At 37.3% G+C, this 22,034-nt stretch overlaps 2 protein-coding genes across 65 annotated transcripts in view; one reads left to right on the forward strand and one right to left on the reverse strand.

The window, feature by feature from the left end:
• Positions 1-5,707, forward strand: part of FIP1L1 (factor interacting with PAPOLA and CPSF1) — an 83,222-nt gene extending 77,515 nt beyond the window's left edge. For 58 of the 60 annotated variants that reach the window (NR_164848.1, NR_164849.1, NR_164847.1 and 55 more), the window contains 2 exons: positions 3,498-3,635; positions 4,147-5,707. Coding sequence is in view for 57 of the 60 variants with exons in the window: in NM_001376766.1 (NP_001363695.1) it covers positions 3,498-3,635; positions 4,147-4,373 (365 nt within the window). In the remaining 3 variants the exon portion in view is untranslated. The remainder of the gene's footprint in view (positions 1-3,497; positions 3,636-4,146) is intronic. The other 2 variants (NM_001376752.1, NM_001376764.1) reach the window with 1 other exon arrangement.
• Positions 4,146-22,034, reverse strand: part of LNX1 (ligand of numb-protein X 1) — a 193,177-nt gene continuing 175,288 nt past the window's right edge. For 4 of the 5 annotated variants that reach the window (XM_005265785.6, NM_001126328.3, XM_024454262.2 and 1 more), the window contains 3 exons: positions 21,598-21,826; positions 6,280-6,438; positions 4,146-5,887 (listed from right to left, as the gene is read on the reverse strand). In XM_005265785.6, the coding sequence (XP_005265842.1) occupies positions 5,752-5,887; positions 6,280-6,438; positions 21,598-21,826 (524 nt within the window). In that variant the 3' untranslated portion in view covers positions 4,146-5,751. Of the gene's footprint in view, positions 6,439-21,597; positions 21,827-22,034 lie in introns of all 5 variants that reach the window. The other variant, XM_047416328.1, reaches the window with a different exon arrangement.

The raw sequence follows: 22,034 nt of genomic DNA on the forward strand, positions 1-22,034 counted from the left end.
GCTGGTTTGTTCTTCTATCCAGACACTAAAACTTTCTCCATATCAGCAATAATGCTGTTTTCATTTTCTTAACCATTCATGTGTTCACTGGAGTAGCACTTTTAATTTTCTTCAATAGCTTTTTCTTTGGCTTGACAACTTGTCTGTTTGGCACATGAGGGCTAGACTTCAGCCTATCATTACTTTTGACATGCCTTCCTCTTCAAGCTTCCTCATTTTTTAAAAGCTTAATCATTTTTAGCTTTTGATTTAAAATGAGAGATGTGCAATTCTTCCTTTCACTTGAAGGCGTAGAGGCCATTGTAGGGTTATTAATTGGCCTCATTTCAACATTATTGTTTCTCAGGGAATAGGGAGACCCAAGGAGAGGAAAGAGATGACCTGAACAGTGGATCGGTCAAGAACATGTACATTTATTAAGTTTGTTGACTTACCTGGATGCGGCTTATGGTACCCCTAAACAGTTACACTAGTGCCTCAAACTAGATCCTGTTCAGAGATATTATAACAAATTACTGAGTTTATTTTGGTGCAAAAAAAATTGATATCGATGCATAATTTTTTCATAGTATGCATTTTCCGTGAACTTTTTGAAGACCTCTCATATTGTCAAGCTGTCTAGGACTGGTCGGTAGCTTAAAACTTTACCAAAAAAAAATGCACAAGAAGGAACTGATGAGGATTTACTCATCTTTTTTCCGTCCTTTGGCTCCTGCTAATATGACTTATACATTGTAGGCACTTAATAAAATTTTATTGACCAAGTAAGTAAACACTATGACACATGCGTGTGTGTGCATGAGTATATGATTTGTGTTTGCTTGGTGGGAAATGTGCTGTTGACTTTAGCCAATTGGAAATGTGCTGTTGACTTTAGCCAATTAAGTGCATGATTCTTCTAAGTTCAAGGGCATTACTTTCCAGAAAGTCAAATTGTTTCTAATGTGGAAATGAATATATGTGAGATAGCATTGCTGTCTCTAGAATGTACATGTTTATAAGTAAGGAACTTAATGCAAAACTTGATAGGAAATAAGAGTAAAATAAATTGCTTTGCCAAGCAGGACTCATAAATTTTCTTTGCATAAATAACACATTGTTTATAGAAGATTTGGCTAAATCCTCTAATTCTTCTGCTTCAAATACATGCACAGATATTACTGAGTTTTTATTGAAACTTAAAAAGTGTTAATGTTTAAACCACATTTGATATTCAGGTTGCTGAACTGTAGGGCATTAGGAGTCAATGTTTACCTAAATTTGACTAAAATGTTTAAGGCCACAGAGGCAAAAAGTGGAGGAATTTTGAGTTGTTCTGAATTATCCCAGGAAAAAATTACACTCTGGAAAATCCAAGTGAAGTATAAGTAAAGGTTTCTGAAGGCTGGTATTTTAGCAGTATGGCATGTAGTATATGTTGCTTTACAAATTACAGGGCCATTGTTTTGAAAATTACAGGCCAGTTTCAACTTCTGTTTTTTAGGGAGCTTAATTATGGGCCAGAAAGAAGGCTGGTCATTCTAGGATGTTTGAAATGAACTCTAATAATTTCCAGGTCCAGAGAAACCTTTGTGGTTCAGCCACTTATCAGAAAAGGGGATGGAAGGAGGAGGGTCTTTATATTTTGTGTGTAGGACCCAATCTTCTACCATCTGTTATAAGGTTCCCATCACAGGGCTGCTTTCAGAATCTAAAGGCTCCAGGTTCAACAAGAGCTGGTTTTAGGGTAAGAGGAAAAAGAGTTAACAAATGACACATTATGAGATAATTGACTTTAACTATTTTTATGTAAATCTAGTTGGAGTCATTGAAAAGCCTCATTTTTTGAGAGAAGTTAACTATATTTATTTCCTATGGTGCTAGTTTATTCTACTTGAAGACATGATACTAAAAAGTTCTGCTTCTGAAAAAATTAAGCATTAAATTCACCAAGGACTGTCATTTATTGAGTGCCTACTCTCATACCAAGCACTTTATAAATGTTGTCAGTTCTGTAAGAAGTCTTGAAAAAGACTGTTGGCAATTTTACAGGTGAGAAAACCGAGGTTTAGAGAGGTAATAGGTAATAGCCTCGGTCACTCATTTAGTAAGTGGCAAAATCAGGATGTGATCCTGTGTGTACTCCACTTGTACTCTTTCTGCTCCTCTCTACTGACTGGCATGGCATGTTACTTTTCAGGTGACATGCCTCCACACTCCAAATACAAAAGTACATATTTATGGGTAGAAAAAAATAGTGGAAATACATATACAAATATGTGCAAATGTGTATATTAATACATTTTCTGTTTTTTTAAATAAGATTCTAAAATTTTAATGTATCACAGATAATAACTTGGTCAGCAGTACAATTGGGCATTAAGCATAGCATTAATGAATCATTACTTTTGCTAGAACACAGGCTGACATGTCTTTTAAAACATGGCTTATAGTTGTCACCTGACTATGTTAAACCCTGAGATTCCTTACCATCTTGATGTTTCATACAAATTACTACTTTCATAATTCATATTAAACACTTCTAGAAATCAAAGCTCTTCAGCATATTCTTCTAAAAGATTATTTTATTCTAAGTGAATTTACTGATGTTAAGTTGTAGAAAGTGTTGACTTCTATGCTAAACATAAAAAAAGAAAAAGGAAGAAATAAGAGACTTGAAGGATAAAGAGAAAGATGGAAAGAGAATGTCAGTTAAAGGACATGAAAGGAAAAGAAGTCTAGGGAGGTAAAGAAAGACCACCCTCTAACTCTAGCCATTAGTCTCAGTTTCACCAGTCTGTGTAATTCAATCCAAAATCAGAAAATGGAGATGCAGCTTCTATTTATGCAGTTGAAATTATTAGCCATGTAGCCCCCCTGCCCACACAGATGTAATTAGGATGTCAGAATGCAGGTATGTCCAATCTGCATTTTGTATGGATGCTGTAGAAGTTGCTTTGATGTCTCTGTTCTTTATTTTTATACTTCTCTATTTGATGAATATTTAGTAATAAACCTAAAGTTTAAAAACTTATTTGCTTTCTGTTTTGTAGTAATTGTGAGTCGTGTATTTTTATAATGTTAAACGTATGTCCAAGACTTTCCAAGAATATTGATTAGAAATCTGAGATATACAAATACTATTTTAATTCTAAAAGGAGCAAAAATTTTAAAAGCTGATAACAATTTAAATCAGTTGCAGATCTCACTTTTTCAAGAAATGAAAAAACCAAAGCATTGTTATATTAAATCTTTTTAACAGCTATGAAAGCACAGAACAAAATTGGTCATTTAACATGTGTAATTATTATATATTTATATTCTTAGCTCTAGTGCTATTTTGAGAACAAGCATTATTTTCCTCTCAATTCAACGAATATTTCTTCCTCACTAATGTTATAAAAGATGCTAATGTGAGGATTTTGGATTTGGACTGCAGATCACATCTCTTTTACAGTTTGAATCCATTCAGAATTAATGGTCCAGTTGTCAAGAAAACATTTCTATTTCAATTTCAGCGATGAAGAACGATACAGATACAGGGAATATGCAGAAAGAGGTTATGAGCGTCACAGAGCAAGTCGAGAAAAAGAAGAACGACATAGAGAAAGACGACACAGGGAGAAAGAGGAAACCAGACATAAGTCTTCTCGAAGGTTTGCTCTTTAATAAAATAGTGAACCAATAGTATGTGAGAGATTTTGACTTACTACATTGTCGCATTGGAAGAGGGGAAATTTTGGCCTATGAACCAGTCTTGCTTGGTTTCATTAAAGAAAAATTCAGGGCCTTGTCTCAAATTTTTTTAAAAAAGCATTAAACAAAATACCTATTGTTTGCCAAAAATCAACCCTATACAGTATTTCCGGTTTTGAGTTAATGCCTGTTTCTAATTTGTTACTGTATATTATAATATGCATTTCAGAAGCTGTGTATAGGCACTGGGAATCTGAGATAATATCAGTGAAGATGGCCCTATAAAATAAATACAATCCCTGCATAAAAGTCACATAAAACTGATTATTCCTCACATTATATTTATGAGAAAATGCATTAGATTATTTTAAACCCAGTGTTATATTGAGAATTTCCTTAGAGTGATTGGATTTTTGTCACTGATTGTGTATTTAAACAGAACACACCTTTTTTTTTTTTTTTTTTTTCCAGTAATAGTAGACGTCGCCATGAAAGTGAAGAAGGAGATAGTCACAGGAGACACAAACACAAAAAATCTAAAAGAAGCAAAGAAGGAAAAGAAGCGGGCAGTGAGCCTGCCCCTGAACAGGAGAGCACCGAAGCTACACCTGCAGAATAGGCATGGTTTTGGCCTTTTGTGTATATTAGTACCAGAAGTAGATACTATAAATCTTGTTATTTTTCTGGATAATGTTTAAGAAATTTACCTTAAATCTTGTTCTGTTTGTTAGTATGAAAAGTTAACTTTTTTTCCAAAATAAAAGAGTGAATTTTTCATGTTAAGTTAAAAATCTTTGTCTTGTACTATTTCAAAAATAAAAAGACAGCAATGACTTTATATCCAAGAAAGGAATGTGAATGAGTCACTTAACAGGGAATCTAAAGAGCTGTGTTAGCTGTGTACATACACAGATTATCTGAGAAAAGGTCAAGGGTTCCACTTGGGCCACAGTTTTTTTGTTAATCAAACACCACTCTCTTAAGAGGCTGCATCACAAAAGGCAACAAAGGGCCCCTCTAAGGCTTGAGATTAAAACTAGTCTTTATCATTACTGCTGTGACACTCTTGCTTAGTATATTAAGAGACTCATACATTTTTGATATCACAACTTTTTGATGGCTTTTCAATATTCTAAATTTGGGTTCCTGGTGAAACCAAATGGGGTACACTTTCATATCCAAATTAATAAAACCTATAAGGCATCTGGGTGGCCTCTATGAAATAAATTAATTAATTACCCATAGTGTAGTTTCTAGGAGGCATGTGTACACACACTCTTCATTGTGGCACAAATTTAAATCGCCTCATGACCATGTCTGTGAGCCAGGGTCAAGCTGGTTTGGCCTTCTTGATGCATTTTCCAAGGCCCACTGGTGGAGCAGCATGAGTTTTTATACAGTTACTAACGATTGTGGAAAAAAAGAGCTTTAGCCATTTCTTACTAAAAACAAAACAAGTTTATAATTAATTCTCTGAGCGAGCATTTTTAGGGATAAGCCTAGGAGGTATTCATCGGTGATGGTAACAAATAACATGGTATTTGAAAGAATAAATTACTAGGATCTTTTAAATAGTGATAATACAAAAGTAATCTTAATTAGTATCACATACTAAAAGACAACTATAACTTCTGAAAAATATTTATTCTTGTTTGATGAAAGCAACGTTTCTCAGCAATGCATTTTAAAAAATATTTTAGCTGTAAATTAAAAATGGCCATAATGTACCCTTGGCAGACTTCAGCATATACCAAATTTTAAATTTAAATCAGCTTGAATTCAGTGGGGTATACAAATCATTTTAGTTGTTTTAGGGCTTTTTATTGAATAGAAAAAATATAAACAATGTTGTAGAGTAATGAGAAATCCTCCACACTGAAAAAAAACTAGTAGTTTTAATTTTTTTGGAATCATATTTTCTGAGGTGTAACTGGCTTTCATTAGATGATCATACTTTTCCTGACATTTTTACAATGTATTCTTTCTTTAAATATAAAAACTGACAAGATAAATATAGTGTTTCAACTTCTTAGCCTATTTGTGATTTTTCTGTTTTCCTCTGACCCATCATTGATTCTATAAAAAAGTGCCAGGCCAAGAAACAATAGTTAGAGTAATTCTTCCTTTAAGTTCTTTCAGCAGTCTTGCCAAGCAAGCATGTATCATTCCTGATGTACTTCTACCATTGACAGCAAGAAGAATATCACCACATCTAAAAAAAAAAACAAAACAAGATATGATTAGTATTTTAATTCGTTGCTGAAGTTAATGCAAGTTTATCTTAGTGGTGCTAGATTTTGCTACATCTGACCATTTTAATTATGTTAACTTCTAATTGAGATATTTCTTGCCTCTTATTTACATTCTCCAAACTCACTATCCATTCAGCTTGTGTTAGAAGGAATGCTAAAAGTATGGGGAGTTGTAGTATGGGACCAAGAATATGTGTAATTATTTTGGATTTCTCAGAAGTTGAATGCTACGTACATACTTTTAATCCCCACAAAGTATAATAAATACATGCCTTATCTCAAATGGGGCCAAGCTTTGGCATTTATGAAACAACATTTAATACAAGTATTTTTGATTAGTCATTATTATTACCTAATTCTTCCATCATTGTATGCTGGTGTTCCTTCAACAATGGATTTGATGAAAAAAGGTTTGTTTCCATTGTATTCTTCATAACCTCCTACAATGCAGAAGCCCAGACTTCCAGCTGTGTTTCTTCGTAATACAATATCTTTACAGTTATACAAGCACCTGAAATAGAATGTAATCAGTGTACATGCATATTTAAGTTTCACAGTTAAGGGAATACTTACTGTGACTCATCCTCCATTCCTTTTGTTGGCATTTTTAATGGCTAAGTACCACTGCATAGGTCCCACTCAAAATTGTATCATACCTTGGTGACCTTTGTGCTGTTAGCTGGCTTTTTGTAATTGAACCTGTTTTCCATAATTTTGAATATCCTTAAAAAACTGACAGCCCTATTGTGTTCTGTTACACATCTACTGGGAATGATAATCATATTTTTAACTTAAGACAATGCTTGAATATGTATTAGCAAAAAGTTGGATAAACCTAAATCCTTATTGGTGAACAAACACACTTATGGATGTCATATTTTTATTTACTTGATATAATTTTAATGAGGGCAAAAATCCTTTGAATAATCTCAATGAAAGCAGTTTAAGCCTAATCCTAATAAATGAATTCGTATACTTTTTTTGACCTTGGAAAAATACCACTTTACACCCAGTGCTACGTTTGATAAGTCATAGAGAAGCATGCACGCATAAAGTGAATGGAAACAGAAACGTTTAAAGATTATAAGAACAATTCAAATAGGAGGAAAAACAAACTGCAGGAAACTGGATAGGAAGTTATAAAAGGAATGGGAGAAGGAAAGGCCCAGCTCTTCTGTAAATTAGAATCCTCAACTAAAATAGCAAATGAGATTGAAGAAATTTTTATTCAGTGGCCCCCAATGGATCAGTGTTCATATAGGTACAGGCCAAGTGTTAACTATGTTATAATTGCCATAGAAGTGTGTGTCAGGAGCTGAATTTTACTCCAGGATGACGTTGTTGACCACATTTGTAGCTGTAGTCCGGGAATTGGTTTGAAAGGAAATTGGCATTTTCATGTTGCCAAAAATCAGATATGGCTATTTTGTTTATATACCGTACCTTAAAATATTAACTGCTTTTTAGAAACCAATAAAAAGTCTTGTGAAATGTTAAATGATAAAGTTGATCATTACATTTGTTACCAACCTTGTTAGTCAATGTGACGTGACTTTTTTCATGATGATGTTTTCACTTGAAATAAAATGAGCTTTAGGGTTTGGCAAATACCTTTAAAATGTAATGCTGAAATTCAACTCTAACCAGTTCTGAATCTATCGTCATACATACACATCATCTATAACAATTTCTTTTACTGAAATGATTGCTTAAAAGTATGAATTTCATTAAATTTCCTATTGTAAAATATTTATCTGCTGCATTTCACAGTAAACCTTGATGTCAGTGGTAAATTCATTCTTTGGGAGCTGTGGTGTGTCACATAACACACTTTACATAACGGTTCACTGACTCCTCATGTACAAAGCAGGTAACTGGCTATTCTGTAAATACCAAAGCATTACATTCCCACCTGGGAGGATGTGTGCCCAATTTTTTGGAGAAAGGTAAGAATTAGATGATTGTTATCTAAGGTCATGATCAAATATCAGTTTTAATTGCCCAGTTTGATTCTTTAAAATAGATAAATGAGTATACTTTTACTGAATATTTTATTTCATATGGAGAAGCTGTAAACATAACCATCAAAAATATTACGTGTTCTAGTTCAAAGCTTTGAACCCAGTAAGTCATAGTGTGCCTATTTTCTAACCTCTTGATACTGGAGAGAACATAACTGCTTTGATCATCTTTCTGCAGATGTTTAAACAAAACACAAAATCCCCTGCCCTCCTGAAGCATCCATTCAAGTTGATATCAGTGTTCCTAGTTTTATTTAATTAAAAAGTAAACGCCTTCTTTTAGTGGTGTTTTGAGTATTTAACTTTATTGCCGCAGCGAGAACTCCGTATGTTAATCTGTTTCAAAGTCATACCTTGGTTAGTTGGGTCTGACTTTGTGGGCATTTTTTTCTTAAGTTGGGTTATTTCACTCCCCACTGGGAAATGTGGCAGCTGTTTTTGATCAGTGACCTCAGATACTAGGTGGCTTTAAACTTTGAATGTGAATGTTGGCTTTTTTCCTATTCTGCACTCATTCTCTAAATTTAGGCCTATCGAAGATTTGGCATAGTATAAGGAATAGCAAGGAGTTTGGTAGTTTTTCCCAATGAGAAAATTATGGTTACCTCAAGAACAAATTTAATGAAATGAGTTAATGAGTATGGTGGCTCATTTGATTTCCACTGAAATGAGTTAATAAGTATGCTGAAGTCTTGAGCTGCTCAAGAAGCTAAGTTTTTTTCTAAATTTTTATATTTCCCCTTATATTACTAATTTAGTCAATACATATTTGAGAACACTGACTTTGAACTAAGTCTGCAGACTACAAAAAACACTAAGGCAGAGCCTCTTTCCTAAGAAAAACACTGTTTAGAAAATAATAAACCAAGTGCATCAGCCAAAGCCAGTTGTGAGATCTTATTTCTTCCTGATGATTTAAATTATTTTAAATTTTTCATTGCTAAGTGGTATTAGAATAGCAGAGGTTGGAAAGACGACAGTGGATGTAGGATGTTTTGAGCTCTGTGAGAGCAGAAAATTGGAAATTGAATCTATAGAAAACCGTCCTTTCACAAAATGTTGCTTTATTATTTTGCTAGCCCTGTGTTCAGAAAAGTTTAACTTCCTGGCCCCAATTTATATGAACTATGACCATTAACTTAATAGATTCCAGTGAGTAATGTACAGCCTCCTACTTTGATTAACCTAGCATTTATTCCCTCTTCTGGATCAGGTACCTCTCAGTCTGTGGTGAAGGGACCACCTTTCATTTTGTTTTCCTAGTTTATTGTAGACTAATACTTTATCGTTAAATAAAAAATGAATTTCTAGAAAAATGAAATATTTAGCTCCAATTTTTATTGTACCTAACAAATATAAAATGTTTTAATATAATCAACATGAAAAAGATGTTTATGGGAGATTAATATGGACAATCAGTGTTATAAACTCATAATTCTGTGTTCAACTTTTTTTTAAAGTTATGAGAGAAATGCCGAGTCCCCATATTAAATGTCTATATGCATACTTTGAACAAACAGGTATAGCAATGTTTAATATAAGTGAGGTTGCTTACTACAATAAGTTGACACTGCTACTTGCAGAGGATAAGGGATAACTAAACCATTTTCTACTACACTATTAGCAGAAAAGACAATCTCACGTAGAAATGTTCAGGAGAACAGAAGATTTTAAAGCAATTTTAGTAAGCTCAGGCAAGTGATAATTTAACCTCAAAATTTGTCTTTATTCCTCAATGATAGCCAATTACAACAATTTGTACTATAGAGTCAAATTTAAATTATCTCTCAGTGACATGAATTCTGAATTCATGAATTTCTTCTGTGTTTTTTCTGAAAATCAGAACATTCTATAAAATCTGTAAGATGTTTGATGATAACTTTTGCAGCTGTGCAATATCAAATTTATCACCTACTTGATAATTGTTATCAAGTTACATCCTAACAATTTATGGAAGCTATTCTTCCAAGCGTCTTGCATTTTGCCCTTTGATGTTATTGGCCATTGAAAAACATCTTGCATTTTTTTCCTTGCAGGAAATATTAAGCTCAGTAAAAATATTGAATATAATTTGGCAAATAAACAAGTTTGGCTGCCCAGTTTACATCTTTAAAAAGTTGGGACCAAACTGGCTTCCTATCTTGCAGAGAAAATAAGGGTTTGGATCTATGGTTCAAACATTTTTGACAGAACTTCTCTTTACTTGTTAGCATGAATAGTTCGTTATGATTAGCTTCCTTATTATCACATAATAAAGAGAATAAACTAGTAAACTAGTATCTAATGCACTAGCCTTTATGTAGTCACAATTTTTGCCATATCACTAAACACATTATTTAGTTTGGCTGACATCACGGCAAAATTTTCTGAAGGAGGCACTGTATTAAGTTACATTCTTCTCCAGCAGCTGCTTTAATCTGGGGAGCCAGTACTCCAGAAAGTTTTACAATCAATGCAACTGCACCAGCATAACATACCCCTACCTAAAACTTCCAATTCACCAACAATGTAAACTTCCTTAGTTTTGTATGGTCCAGAGCTAGTTGTGTTTATTGCCAAAGAACTTTTTAAAAATTCTGATACATGTTTAAATTGTACATACACTAAAAAGATTTGCCTGTGTATTCAAGTTAAAATGAAAAATATGTTGCTAGCTTTTTTTGAAGTTGGTTTTCATATCACTAGTTATGAAACATAGTACCCTTTTTACCACAGATTCACCCAATGTTTCTAAGCAAATTTTAGTTTTCACAAATACCTTGGCAATGTGTATACACATTTTTAATCTTACTAACTTAAAATGCTACTTTATTATAGGAAGTCCACAAAGTATAGAGTTTGTGCATAGTATATTGGCATCTACTTCCAGTGACTTTAATTAAATACTCTTTCAAAAAATTATTTTGGCTTTTTGTTTGTAAGAGGCATTTATGATTCCATTGTTTTATTAGCCAACACCTCTCCACAAGTGGTTTTACTACTTCACCAACAATGACAGCTGCAAACCCAAGCTCCACAGAGGAGTAAAAGCAGCATAAACTTTTTGTTTTAAGAAAAAAAAAATCACATATTATTTGGAATCACTAATATTGTACTGTTTTCAGAAAAGGTATGTCTTGTCTTGATAAAAATCCAATGAAGTTATATTCACCATCTATAAATAGGCTACTTCTCTAATTTGGCCAATAATGTTGAACTACATACTTAAAGCAGCTTTGATTAAAATTTAAATGATCGTAAAAAATATGTTTAAAAAGAAACCTGAAGACAGCCGAATAGGAACAGCTCCAGTCTACAGCTCCCAGCGTGAGTGATGCAGAAGATGGGTGATTTCTGCATTTCCAACTGAGATACTGGGTTCATCTCACTAGGGAGTGCCAGACGGTGCAGGACAGTGGGTGCAGCACACCGAGCACGAGCCAAAGCAGGGCAAGGCGTCGCCTCACCCGGGAAGCACAAGGGATCAGGGAATTCCCTTTCCTAGTCAAAGAAAGGGGTGACAGACGGCACCTGGAAAATCGGGTCACTTCCACCCTAATACTGTGCTGTTCCAATGGGCTTAACAAACAGCACACCAGGAGATTATATCCCGCACCTGGCTCGGAGGGTCCTATGCCCAAGGAGCCTTGCTCATTGCTAGCACAGCAGTAAAGTGCAAGGTGGCAGCAAGGCTGGGGGAGGGGCGCCCGCCATTGCCCAGGCTTGAGTAGGTAAAGAAAGTGGCCTGGAAGCTCAAACTGGGTGGAGCTCCACTGTGGTGAAGCCCACCACAGCTCAAGCAGGCCTGCTTCTCTGTAGGCTCCATCTCTGGGGGCAGGGCACAGACAAACAAAAGGCAGCAGTAACCTCTGCAGACTTAAATGTCCCTGTCTGACAGCTTTGAAGAGACTAGTGGTTCTCCCAGCAAGCAGCTTGAGATCTGAGAACGGGCAGACTGCCTCCTCAAGTGTGTCCCTGACCCCCGAGTAGCCTAACTGGGAGGCACCCCCCAGTAGGGGCGGACTGACACCTCACATGGCTGGGTACTCCTCTGAGACAAAACTTCAGAGGAATGATCAGGCAGCAGCATTTGCGTTTCACCAATATCCACTGTTCTGTAGACACCGCTGCTGATACTCAGGCAACAGGGTCTGGAGTGGACCTACAGCCAACTCCAACAGACCTGCAGCTGAGGGTCCTGACTGCTGGAAGGAAAACTAACAAACAGAAAGGGCATCGACACCAAAAACCCATCAGTACGTCACCATCATCAAAGACCAAAGGTAGATAAAACCACAAAGATGGAGAAAAAACAGAGCAGAAAAACCAGAAACTATAAAAATCAGAGCGCCTCTCCTCCTCCAAAGGAATGCAGCTCCTCACCAGCAATGGAACAAAGCTGAACAGAGAATGACTTCAACAAGTTGAGAGAGGAAGGCTTCAGAAGATCACACTACTACGAGCTAAAGGAGGAAGTTTGAACCAATGGCAAAGAAGTTAAAAACCTTGAAAAAAAATTAGACAAATGGCTAACTACAATAGCCAATGCAGAGAAGTCCTTAAAGGACCTGATGGAGCTGAAAACCACGGCACGAGAACTATGTGACGAATGCACAAGCCTCAGTAGCCGATGCGATCAACTGGAAGAAAGGGTATCAGCGATGGAAGACAAAATGAATGAAATGAAGCGAGAAGAGAAGTTTAGAGAAAAAAGAATAAAAAGAAATGAACAAAGTCTCCAAGAAATATGGGACTATGTGAAAAGACCAAATCTATGTCTGATTGGTGTACCTGAAAGTGACGAGGAGAATGGAACCAAGTTGGAAAACACTCTGCAAGATAATATCCAGGAGAACTTCCCCAATCTAGCAAGGCAGGCCAACATTCAAATTCAGGAAATACAGAGAATGCCACAAAGATAGTCCTCAAGAAGAGCAACTCCAAGACACATAATTGTCAGATTCACCAAAGTTGAAATGAAGGAAAAAATGTTCAGGGCAGCCAGAGAGAAAGGTCGGGTTACCCACAAAGGGAAGCCCATCAGACTAACAGCTGATCTCTCGGCAGAAACTCTACAAGCCAGAAGAGAGTGGGGGCCAATATTCAACATCCTTAAAAGAAAAGAATTTTCAACCCAGAATTTCATATCCAGCCAAAATAAGCTCTATAAGTGAAGGAGAAATAAAATACTTTACAGACAAGCAAATGCTGAGAGATTTTGTCACCACCAGGCCTGCCCTAAAAGAGCTCCTGGAGGAAGCACTAAATATGGAAAGGAACAACCGTTACCAGCTACTGCAAAAACATGCCAAATTGTAAAGACCATCGAGGCTAAGAAGAAACTGCATCAACTAATGAGCAAGCTAACCAGCAAACATCATAATGACAGGATCAAATTCACACATAACAATATTCACCTTAAATGTAAATGGGCTAAATGCTCCAATTAAAAGACACAGACTGGCAAACTGGATAAAGTCAAGACCCATCAGTGTGCTGTATTCAGGAAACCCATCTCAAGTGCAGAGACACACATAGGCTCAAATAAAGGGATGGAAGAAGATCTACCAAGCAAATGGAAAACAAAAAAAGACAGGGGTTGCAATCCTAGTCTCTGATAAAACAGACTTTAAACCAACAAAGATCAAAAGAGACAAAGAAGGCCACTACATAATGGTAAAGGGATCAATTCAACAAGAAGAGCTAACTATCCTAAATATATATGCACCCAATACAGGAGCACTCAGATTCATAAAGCAAGTCCTTAGTGACCTACAAAGAGACTTAGACTCCCACACAATAATAATGGGAGACTTTAACACCCCATTGTCAACATTAGACAGATCAACGACACAGAAAGTTAACAAGGATATCCAGGAATTGAACTCAGCTCTGCACCAAGCAGACCTAATAGACATCTACGGAACTCTCCACCCTAAATCAACAGAATATACATTCTTTCCAGCACCACACCACACCTATTCCATAACTGACCACATAGTTGGAAGTAAAGCACTCCTCAGCAAATGTAAAAGAACAGAAATTATAACAAACTGTCTCTCAGACCACAGTGCAATCAAACTAGAACTCAGGATTAAGAAACTCACTCAAAACTGCTCAACTACATGGAAACTGAACAACCTGCTCCTGAATGACTACTAGGTACATAACGAAATGAAGGCAGAAATAAAGATGTTCTTTGAAACCAACGAGAACAAAGACACAGCGTACCAGAATCTCTGGGACACATTCAAAGCAGTGTGTAAAGGGAAATTTATAGCACTGAATGCTCACAAGAGAAAGCAGGAAAGATCTAAAATTGACACCCTAACATCACAATTAAAAGAACTAGAGAAGCAAGAGCAAACACATTCAAAAGCTAGCAGAAGGCAAGAAATAACTAAGATCAGAGCAGAACTGAAGAAAATAGAGACACAAAAAACCCTTCAAAAAATCAATGAATCCAGGAGCTGGTTTTTTGAAAAGATCAACAAAATTGATAGACTGCTAGCAAGACTAATAAAGAAGAAAAGAGAGAAGAATCAAATAGATGCAATAAAAAATGACAAAGGGGATATCACCACCAATCCCACAGAAATACAAATTACCATCAGAGAATACTATAAACACCTCTATGCAAATAAACTAGAAAATCTAGAAGAAATGGATAAATTCCTCGACACATACACCCTCCCAAGACTAAACCAGGAAGAAGCTGAATCTCTGAATACACCAATAACAGGCTCTGAAATTGAGGCAATAATTAATAGCTTACTAACCAAAAAAAGTCCAGGACCAGATGGATTCACAGCCGAATTCTACCAGAAGTACAAGGAGGAGCTGGTACCATTCCTTCTGAAACTATTCCAATCAATAGAAAAAGAGGGAATCCTCCCTAACTCATTTTATGAGGCCAGCATTATCCTGATAACAAAGCCGGGCAGAGACACAACAAAAAAAGAGAATTTGAGACCAATATCCTGGATGAACACCAATGCAAAAATCCTCAGTAAAATACTGGCAAACCAAATCCAGCAGCACATCAAAAAGCTTATCCACCATGATCAAGTGGGCTTCATCCCTGGGATGGAAGGCTGGTTCAACATATGCAAATCAATAAACGTAATCCAGCATATAAACAAAACCAAAGACAAAAACCACATGATTTTCTCAATAGATGCAGAAAAGCCTTTGACAAAATTCAACAACCTTCATGCTAAAAACTCTCAATAAATTAGGTATTGATGGGACGTATCTCAAAATAATAAGAGCTATCTGTGACAAACCCACAGCCAATATCATACTGAATGGGCAAAAACTGGAAGCATTCACTTTGAAAACTGGCACAAGACAGGGATGCCCTCTCTCACCACTTCTATTCAACATAGTGTTGGAAGTTCTGGCCAGGGCAATCAGGAAGGAGAAGGAAATAAAGGGCATTCAATTAGGAAAAGAGGAAGTCAAATTGTCCCTGTTTGCAGATGACATGACTGAATATCTAGAAAACCCCATCATCTCAGCCCAAAATCTCCTTAAGCTGATAAGCAACTTCAGCAAAGTCTCAGGATACAAATCAACGTGCAAAAATCACAAGCATTCTTATACACCAATAACAGACAAACAGAGATCCAAATCATGAGTGAACTCCCATTCACAATTGCTTCAAAGATAATAAAATACCTAGGAATCCAACTTACAAGGGACGTGAAGGACCTCTTCAAGGAGAACTACAAACCACTGCTCAATGAAATAAAATAGGATACAAACAAATGGAAGAACATTCCATGCTCATGGGTAGGAAGAATCAATTATCATGAAAATGGGCATACTGCCCAAGGTAATTTATAGATTCAGTGCCATCCCCATCGAGCTACCAATGACTTTCTTCACAGAATTGGAAAAAACTACTTTAAAGTTCATATGGAACCAAAAAAGAGCCCGCATTGCCAAGTCAATCCTAAGCCAAAGGAACAAAGCTGGAGGCATCGCACTACCTGACTTCAAACTATACTACAAGGCTACAGTAACCAAAACAGCATGGTACTGGTACCAAAACAGAGATATAGACCAATGGAACAGAACGGAGCCCTCAGAAATAATGCCGCATATCTACAACCATCTGATCTTTGACAAACCTGACAAAAACAAGCAATGGGGAAACGATTCCCTATTTAATAAATGGTGCTGGGAAAACTGGCTAGCCATACGTAGAGAGCTGAAACTGGATCCCTTCCTTACACCTTATACAAAAATTAATTCAAGATGGATTAAAGACTTATATGTGAGACCTAAAACCATAAAAACCCTAGAAGAAAACCTAGGCATTACCATTCAGGACATAGGCATGGACAAGGACTTCATGTCTAAAACATCAAAAGCAATGGCAACAAAAGCCAAAATTGACAAATGGGATCTAATTAAATGAAAGAGCTTCTGCACAGCGAAAGAAACTACCATCAGAGTGAACAGGCAACCTACAGAATGGGAGAACATTTTTGCAATCCACTCATCTGACAAAGGGCTAATATCCAGAATCTACAATGAACTCAAACAAGTTTACAAGAAAAAAAAACCCCATCAAAAAGTGGGGAAAGGATATGAACAGACACTTCTCAAAAGAAGACATTTATGCAGCCAACAGACACATGAAAAAATGCTCATCATCACTGGCCATCAGAGAAATGCAAATCAAAACCACAATGAGATACCATCTCACACCAATTAGAATGGCGATCATTAAAAAGTCAGGAAACAACAGGTGCTGGAGAGGATGTGGAGAAATAGAAACACTTTTACACTGTTGGTGGGACTGTAAACTAGTTCAACCATTGTGGAAGTCAGTGTGGCGATTCCTCAGGGATCTAGAACTGGAAATACCATTTGACCCAGCCATCCCATTACTGGGTGTATACCCAAAGGATTATAAATCATGCTACTATAAAGACACATGCACACTTATGTTTATTGCGGCACTATTCACAATAACAAAGACTTGGAACCAACCCAAATTTCCAACAATGATAGACTGGATTAAGAAAACGTGGTACATATACACCATGGAATACTATGTAGCCATAAAAAAGGATGAGTTCATGTCCTTTGTAGGGACATGGATGAAGCTGGAAACCATCATTCTCAGCAAACTATTGCAAGGACAAAAAACCAAATACTGCATATTCTCACTCATAGGTGGGAATTGAACAATGAGAAAACATGGACACAGCAAGGGGAACATCACACACCGGGGACTGTTGTGGGGTTGGGGGATGGGGGAGGGATAGCATTAGGAGATATACCTAATGCTAAATGACGAGTTAATGGGTGCAGCACACCAGCATGGCACATGTATACATATGTAACTAACCTGCACGTTGTGCATATGTACCCTAAAACTTAAAGTATAATAAAAAAAAGAAGAAGAAGAAAGACACAAGGGATCCTAATAATAAAAAACAAAAAAGTGGGAAGTGAAATCTTACAACATGCCTGAAAATACTGGAAATTTTTATTTTATTTTTATTTGAAAAAGGTACAAATTTTGATTTTCTGTATTAAATCATTTATTTGAACAATGATTTATTCAACAACAACAACAACAACAACAAAAAAAAAAAAAACAAAAAACAATGGGGAAGTAAAGGACTCTTTGCAATATAATTGATGAACGTGAAAGCCGCCAAAGGTGTATGAAAGCAGATATAGAGGCCAAGCAGGGGGAAGGCTGATAAAAGAGATGCTAATGGCAATGAGAGAAATGAGTGTTCCAGAGAGTTGTTATATTGTGCTGTGTTGTAAAGCTGGAAAAGGCTAAGGTGAAATAACCCTACCAGTAAGAAGAGAATAACTGAGTTTGCTAGTTTCTGAGTTAAATGCTGGCCAAGTAGAAAGAAGTTTTTAATGCACCTTCTGGAGTGATTTTCAAATTTTTTTGTGACTCTCAGGCCTTGACTATGAAATACGGAAGGTGATTTCTTAAAACTAAATAAAGTTGGTTAGTGAGGTAAAAAAAGAAAAGAAAAGAAAAGAAAATTGATAACCAACCATATTACTATGAATGTAAAATATTTCTGAAGCAACTGCTCTATGAACAAGAGCTCAATGCAGAGATAAGACTTCAAGGAAGATGAGACAACAGAAGAAATGAGCCAATGGAACAGAACACAAAAGTGGAAGAGAAAAATAAAAACACCACAGCAATGAAAGTGGCTGCAAAGGAACAGAAATAATATTGAAAACACAGTGAGCATTGAAGGAAAGATGCAAATAAGCCAGGAAAACATGCAGCACTATTTACAATAGCAAAGATACAGAATCAACCTAAATGCCCATCAATGGTAGACTAGATAAAGAAAATGTGGTACATATACATCATGGAATACGATGCAGTCATAAAGAAGAACAAGATCATGTCTTTTGTGGGAATACGGATGGATCTGGAGGACATTATCCTTAGCAAACTGACTCAGGAACAGAAAACCAAATACTTCATGTTCTCACTTATAAGTGGGAACTAAAATGATGAGAACTCATGGACACAATGAGGGTGACAACAGACACCAGGGCCTACTTGAGGGTGGAGGATGGAAGGAGGAAGAGGATCAGCAAATATAACTAATGAGTACTAGGCTTAGTACCTGGGTACTGAACTCATCTGTACAACAAACCCCTGTGACATGAGTTTACCTATATAACAAACCTGCACATGTACCCCTGAACCTAAAATAAAAGTTAAAAGCCAAGAAAGCAAAATGGAGAAAAAAGAGTTGAAAAGGATCCGAGAACACTAAATATATGAAATATAAAATATATCAAAGAAACAAATTTCTAGAGTCCCTGAAAAGCAGCTACAAAATAATAGAACAGTTATTTTGAACGTTAAGTAAAAAGACCAAGCCACATATGGAGGGAAAGAAATGACATGAGCCTCCCACTTCTCCACACCATTCAATGCTACTTAGCAGTGATGCAATGCCTATGTAGTCCTATAGGAATGAAGTGATACAATAATTTGATATCCAGGCAACCTGGCGCATGGCTGTTTAGATGTACCATAACTTATTTAACCAGTTCCTAATTGGCAGTGGATACAACGATGGTGCAGTGCCTATCATGATACCCAAGAACATCAGATTTGTTTTTAAATAAAATGCATGGTACATAGGAGTGTATATGCTACCATTGTGTTTGTGTGTATGTGTGTGTATACATATAAACACAGGCCAGGGGTGAGCAATTTACAGCCCAACCCAACACCTGGTTTTATAAGTAAAATTTTATTGGAACACAGCCTTCCTCATTCATTCATGTATTGCCTGTGGCTGCTCTCACACCACAACAGCAGAAATGAGTAATTGCCACAGAGACTGCGTGGCCCTCAAAGCCTAAACTATCAGGCCCTTTTTAGAAAAGATTTGCCAACCTCTGACATAGAATACACAAGAAATTGATAATGGTGATCACCTTTATTGAATGAATCTGAAGGGAGGGAGACTTACTTTTTGTTCTCTTTACATTCTTTGGTGCATTCTGAATTTTCTACCATGTTTATTCTGTTACTACAGGGAGAGGATGGAATGAAAGAAACCAGGAATCTCCAGGGTTCTGAAAATCAGTGTTGTCTATGCCGGGATATCATGCTTCCTTACCACTGTCCATTTAGAGGAAATGAGCAAAGTGCAGACTCTACTTCTTCTTTTTTTTTTGAGACAGAGTCTCTCTCTGTCACCCAGGCTGGAGTGCAGTGGCGCGATCTCAGCTCACTGCAACCTCCGCCTCCTGGGTTCAAGCAATTCTCATGCCTCAGCCTCCCGAGTAGCTGGGACTACAGGCGTGTGCCACCACGCTTGGCTAATTTTTTGTATTTTTAGTAGAGATGCGGTTTTGCCATGTTGGCCAGGCTGGTCTTGAACTCCTGGTCTCAAGTGATCCACTCACCTTAGCCTCCCAAACTGCTGGGATTACAGGCATGAGCCACCACACCCAGCCCAGACTACTTCCAGCAAAAGTAGAGAAGTGCCATGCCCAAGGGCAAATGACAAAAGGTAGAGGGGAAGAAAGACATTCGCTTGGTTGTATTTGGAGCAAAAAGCACCTCACATTGTCCTCTCTTACACAAATGAATAATGAAGGACTTTGATTACATGACAGAATAGCTTTCAAACACAAAAAACAAAATAATTTTAATAGATCCTAGTTTCAGAAAGATTTTTAAAAATAAAACTTTAAAGTCATACTCTCTACTTTCACTCAGGCTCAGTTCTAAAATGTCTAAAGGGTTTTAAACTGACTCAACGCTCAGATTTTAACTGTTTAAGGACTTTTGAAAATGTACTGATTTAGAAAATAATTTATCAACTAGTGAAGGCTCAAAAAGGAATCTAGTTAATTTTGTATTTGAGGCAGGGTTTTGTTTTTCTTAAAAAACTCATTTGAAATGTAAAAAGAGAGAGAGACTTATCTCCACCCTCAAGAAAAACGTACTAAAACTAAACGTCTCACTTTCATTTTTCCATATTTAGTCCTATGCTAGTATATCTTCAGTGATGCTAATATTTAGCATTATTCACACATTGGAACAGCAAGATAATCATCTGAAGGCCAACAGTTTATGCTCTCATGCAGGTGAGCAAACACCAACTTGTCTGTTCTTTGAATAGTTCTGTACTGGCCATTTTGTAGGGCTGACCCCAAATTCTTCCCTGAAGTAATTAAGTGAGACAAGTAATTACGTCACTGTAAGGCTCTAAAATGTCACTAAAATGACAACCCAGCTACTTCCTGAAGTTTTACACAAGAACTCCTCAGGAGCAGGCCCTAAGGAGAGATGATCTAAGAAATGTCTCCAAACAAAAGGTGCTTAAACATCTTAGCAAAGGCGAAGTGCTCTGGGGCATTGTTTTATGTGCAGCCAAGGCCACTCAAAAGATAAAACTGGCTGGACATGGTGGCTCACACCTGTAATCCCAGCACTTTGCCAGGCCGAGGCAGGCAGATTGATTGAAGTCAGGAGTTTGAGACCAGCCTGGGCAACATGGTGAATCCCCGTCTCTACTAGAAATACAAAAATGAGCTGGGCGTGGTGGTGTGTGCCTGTAATCCCAGCTACTTGGGGAGGCTGAGGTAGGAGAATCATTTGAACCCAGGAGGCCAAGGTTGCAGTGAGCCGAGATTGCACCACTGCACTCTAGCCTGGGTGACAGAGCAAGACTCTATATAAAAATAAAATAAAATAAAGCCACAGAAGGCAGTCAGCCTCCCTGCAAGATCCCAGGGCTGCCACTAGCAGATTAGGCGAAGGTGAACCTTCTCCTAGGCAGTGCAACTCAGCTCCAAGGGGTGTAAACACAGGCTGGGTCTCTGCCCCCTCTGCCTGTCTGTGGAGCTCTCTGCTGCATGAACAACCTACACAGCTGTACATGGCAGTCCTGTGAGCTCCTCAACCTGAACGCCAAACAGTATTTCCACATCCAGGCTTTTGTCTTTGCCCTAGAATGTCCGCATGCATTTTCAGTTACAAATGGGAAGAGAGAATTATTTCACAGTCCCACAACCAAGACTGGGTCTAATTAAGATGCTAGTGCCATGAATCAGCCCTAGAGAGTGAAAGAGTGGTTTAAGAAATGTAATCGTTTTCTCCCACGCCCCTACAGGGATGTTGTGTTTGGACTTACCGTGGTAATTCCAGCCACATGACCCAGGATGGGGACCAGTCACTGGGTGGGGCCATGTTGTGGTTGGAGTCCAGGGCTGCTGGGCTGCTGCAGTCTTCCTGGGGCTCATACTCTTTGACTTCCAAAGCTTTGAGTACTATCGAGGATGATGTTCTTTTCAATAATGCCACTGCCTCACTCCGGCTGACCTCTGTCAGTTCGACCCCATCCACATTCAACAAAATGTCACCTGATGGCCAGAGAAGCAGAAGCTATCTTTAGTGAGAGCACAAACAGGGACTTCTGCTTAAAGTGCAAGGGGATAGGGGCTGACTGGGATTGCAGGGATGCAGAGAGGGCAAAGGTTTTCTTTGTTGACGGGAGGCTGGGTGCTCACATAGCAAATGGTAAACAGTGTGTGCATTCCAAGGTGCTGTTAAGACTTGTTTGGGGTTTTC

This window comes from Homo sapiens, chromosome 4 (assembly GCF_000001405.40).
Source record: "Homo sapiens chromosome 4, GRCh38.p14 Primary Assembly".
NCBI lineage: Eukaryota > Metazoa > Chordata > Mammalia > Primates > Hominidae > Homo > Homo sapiens.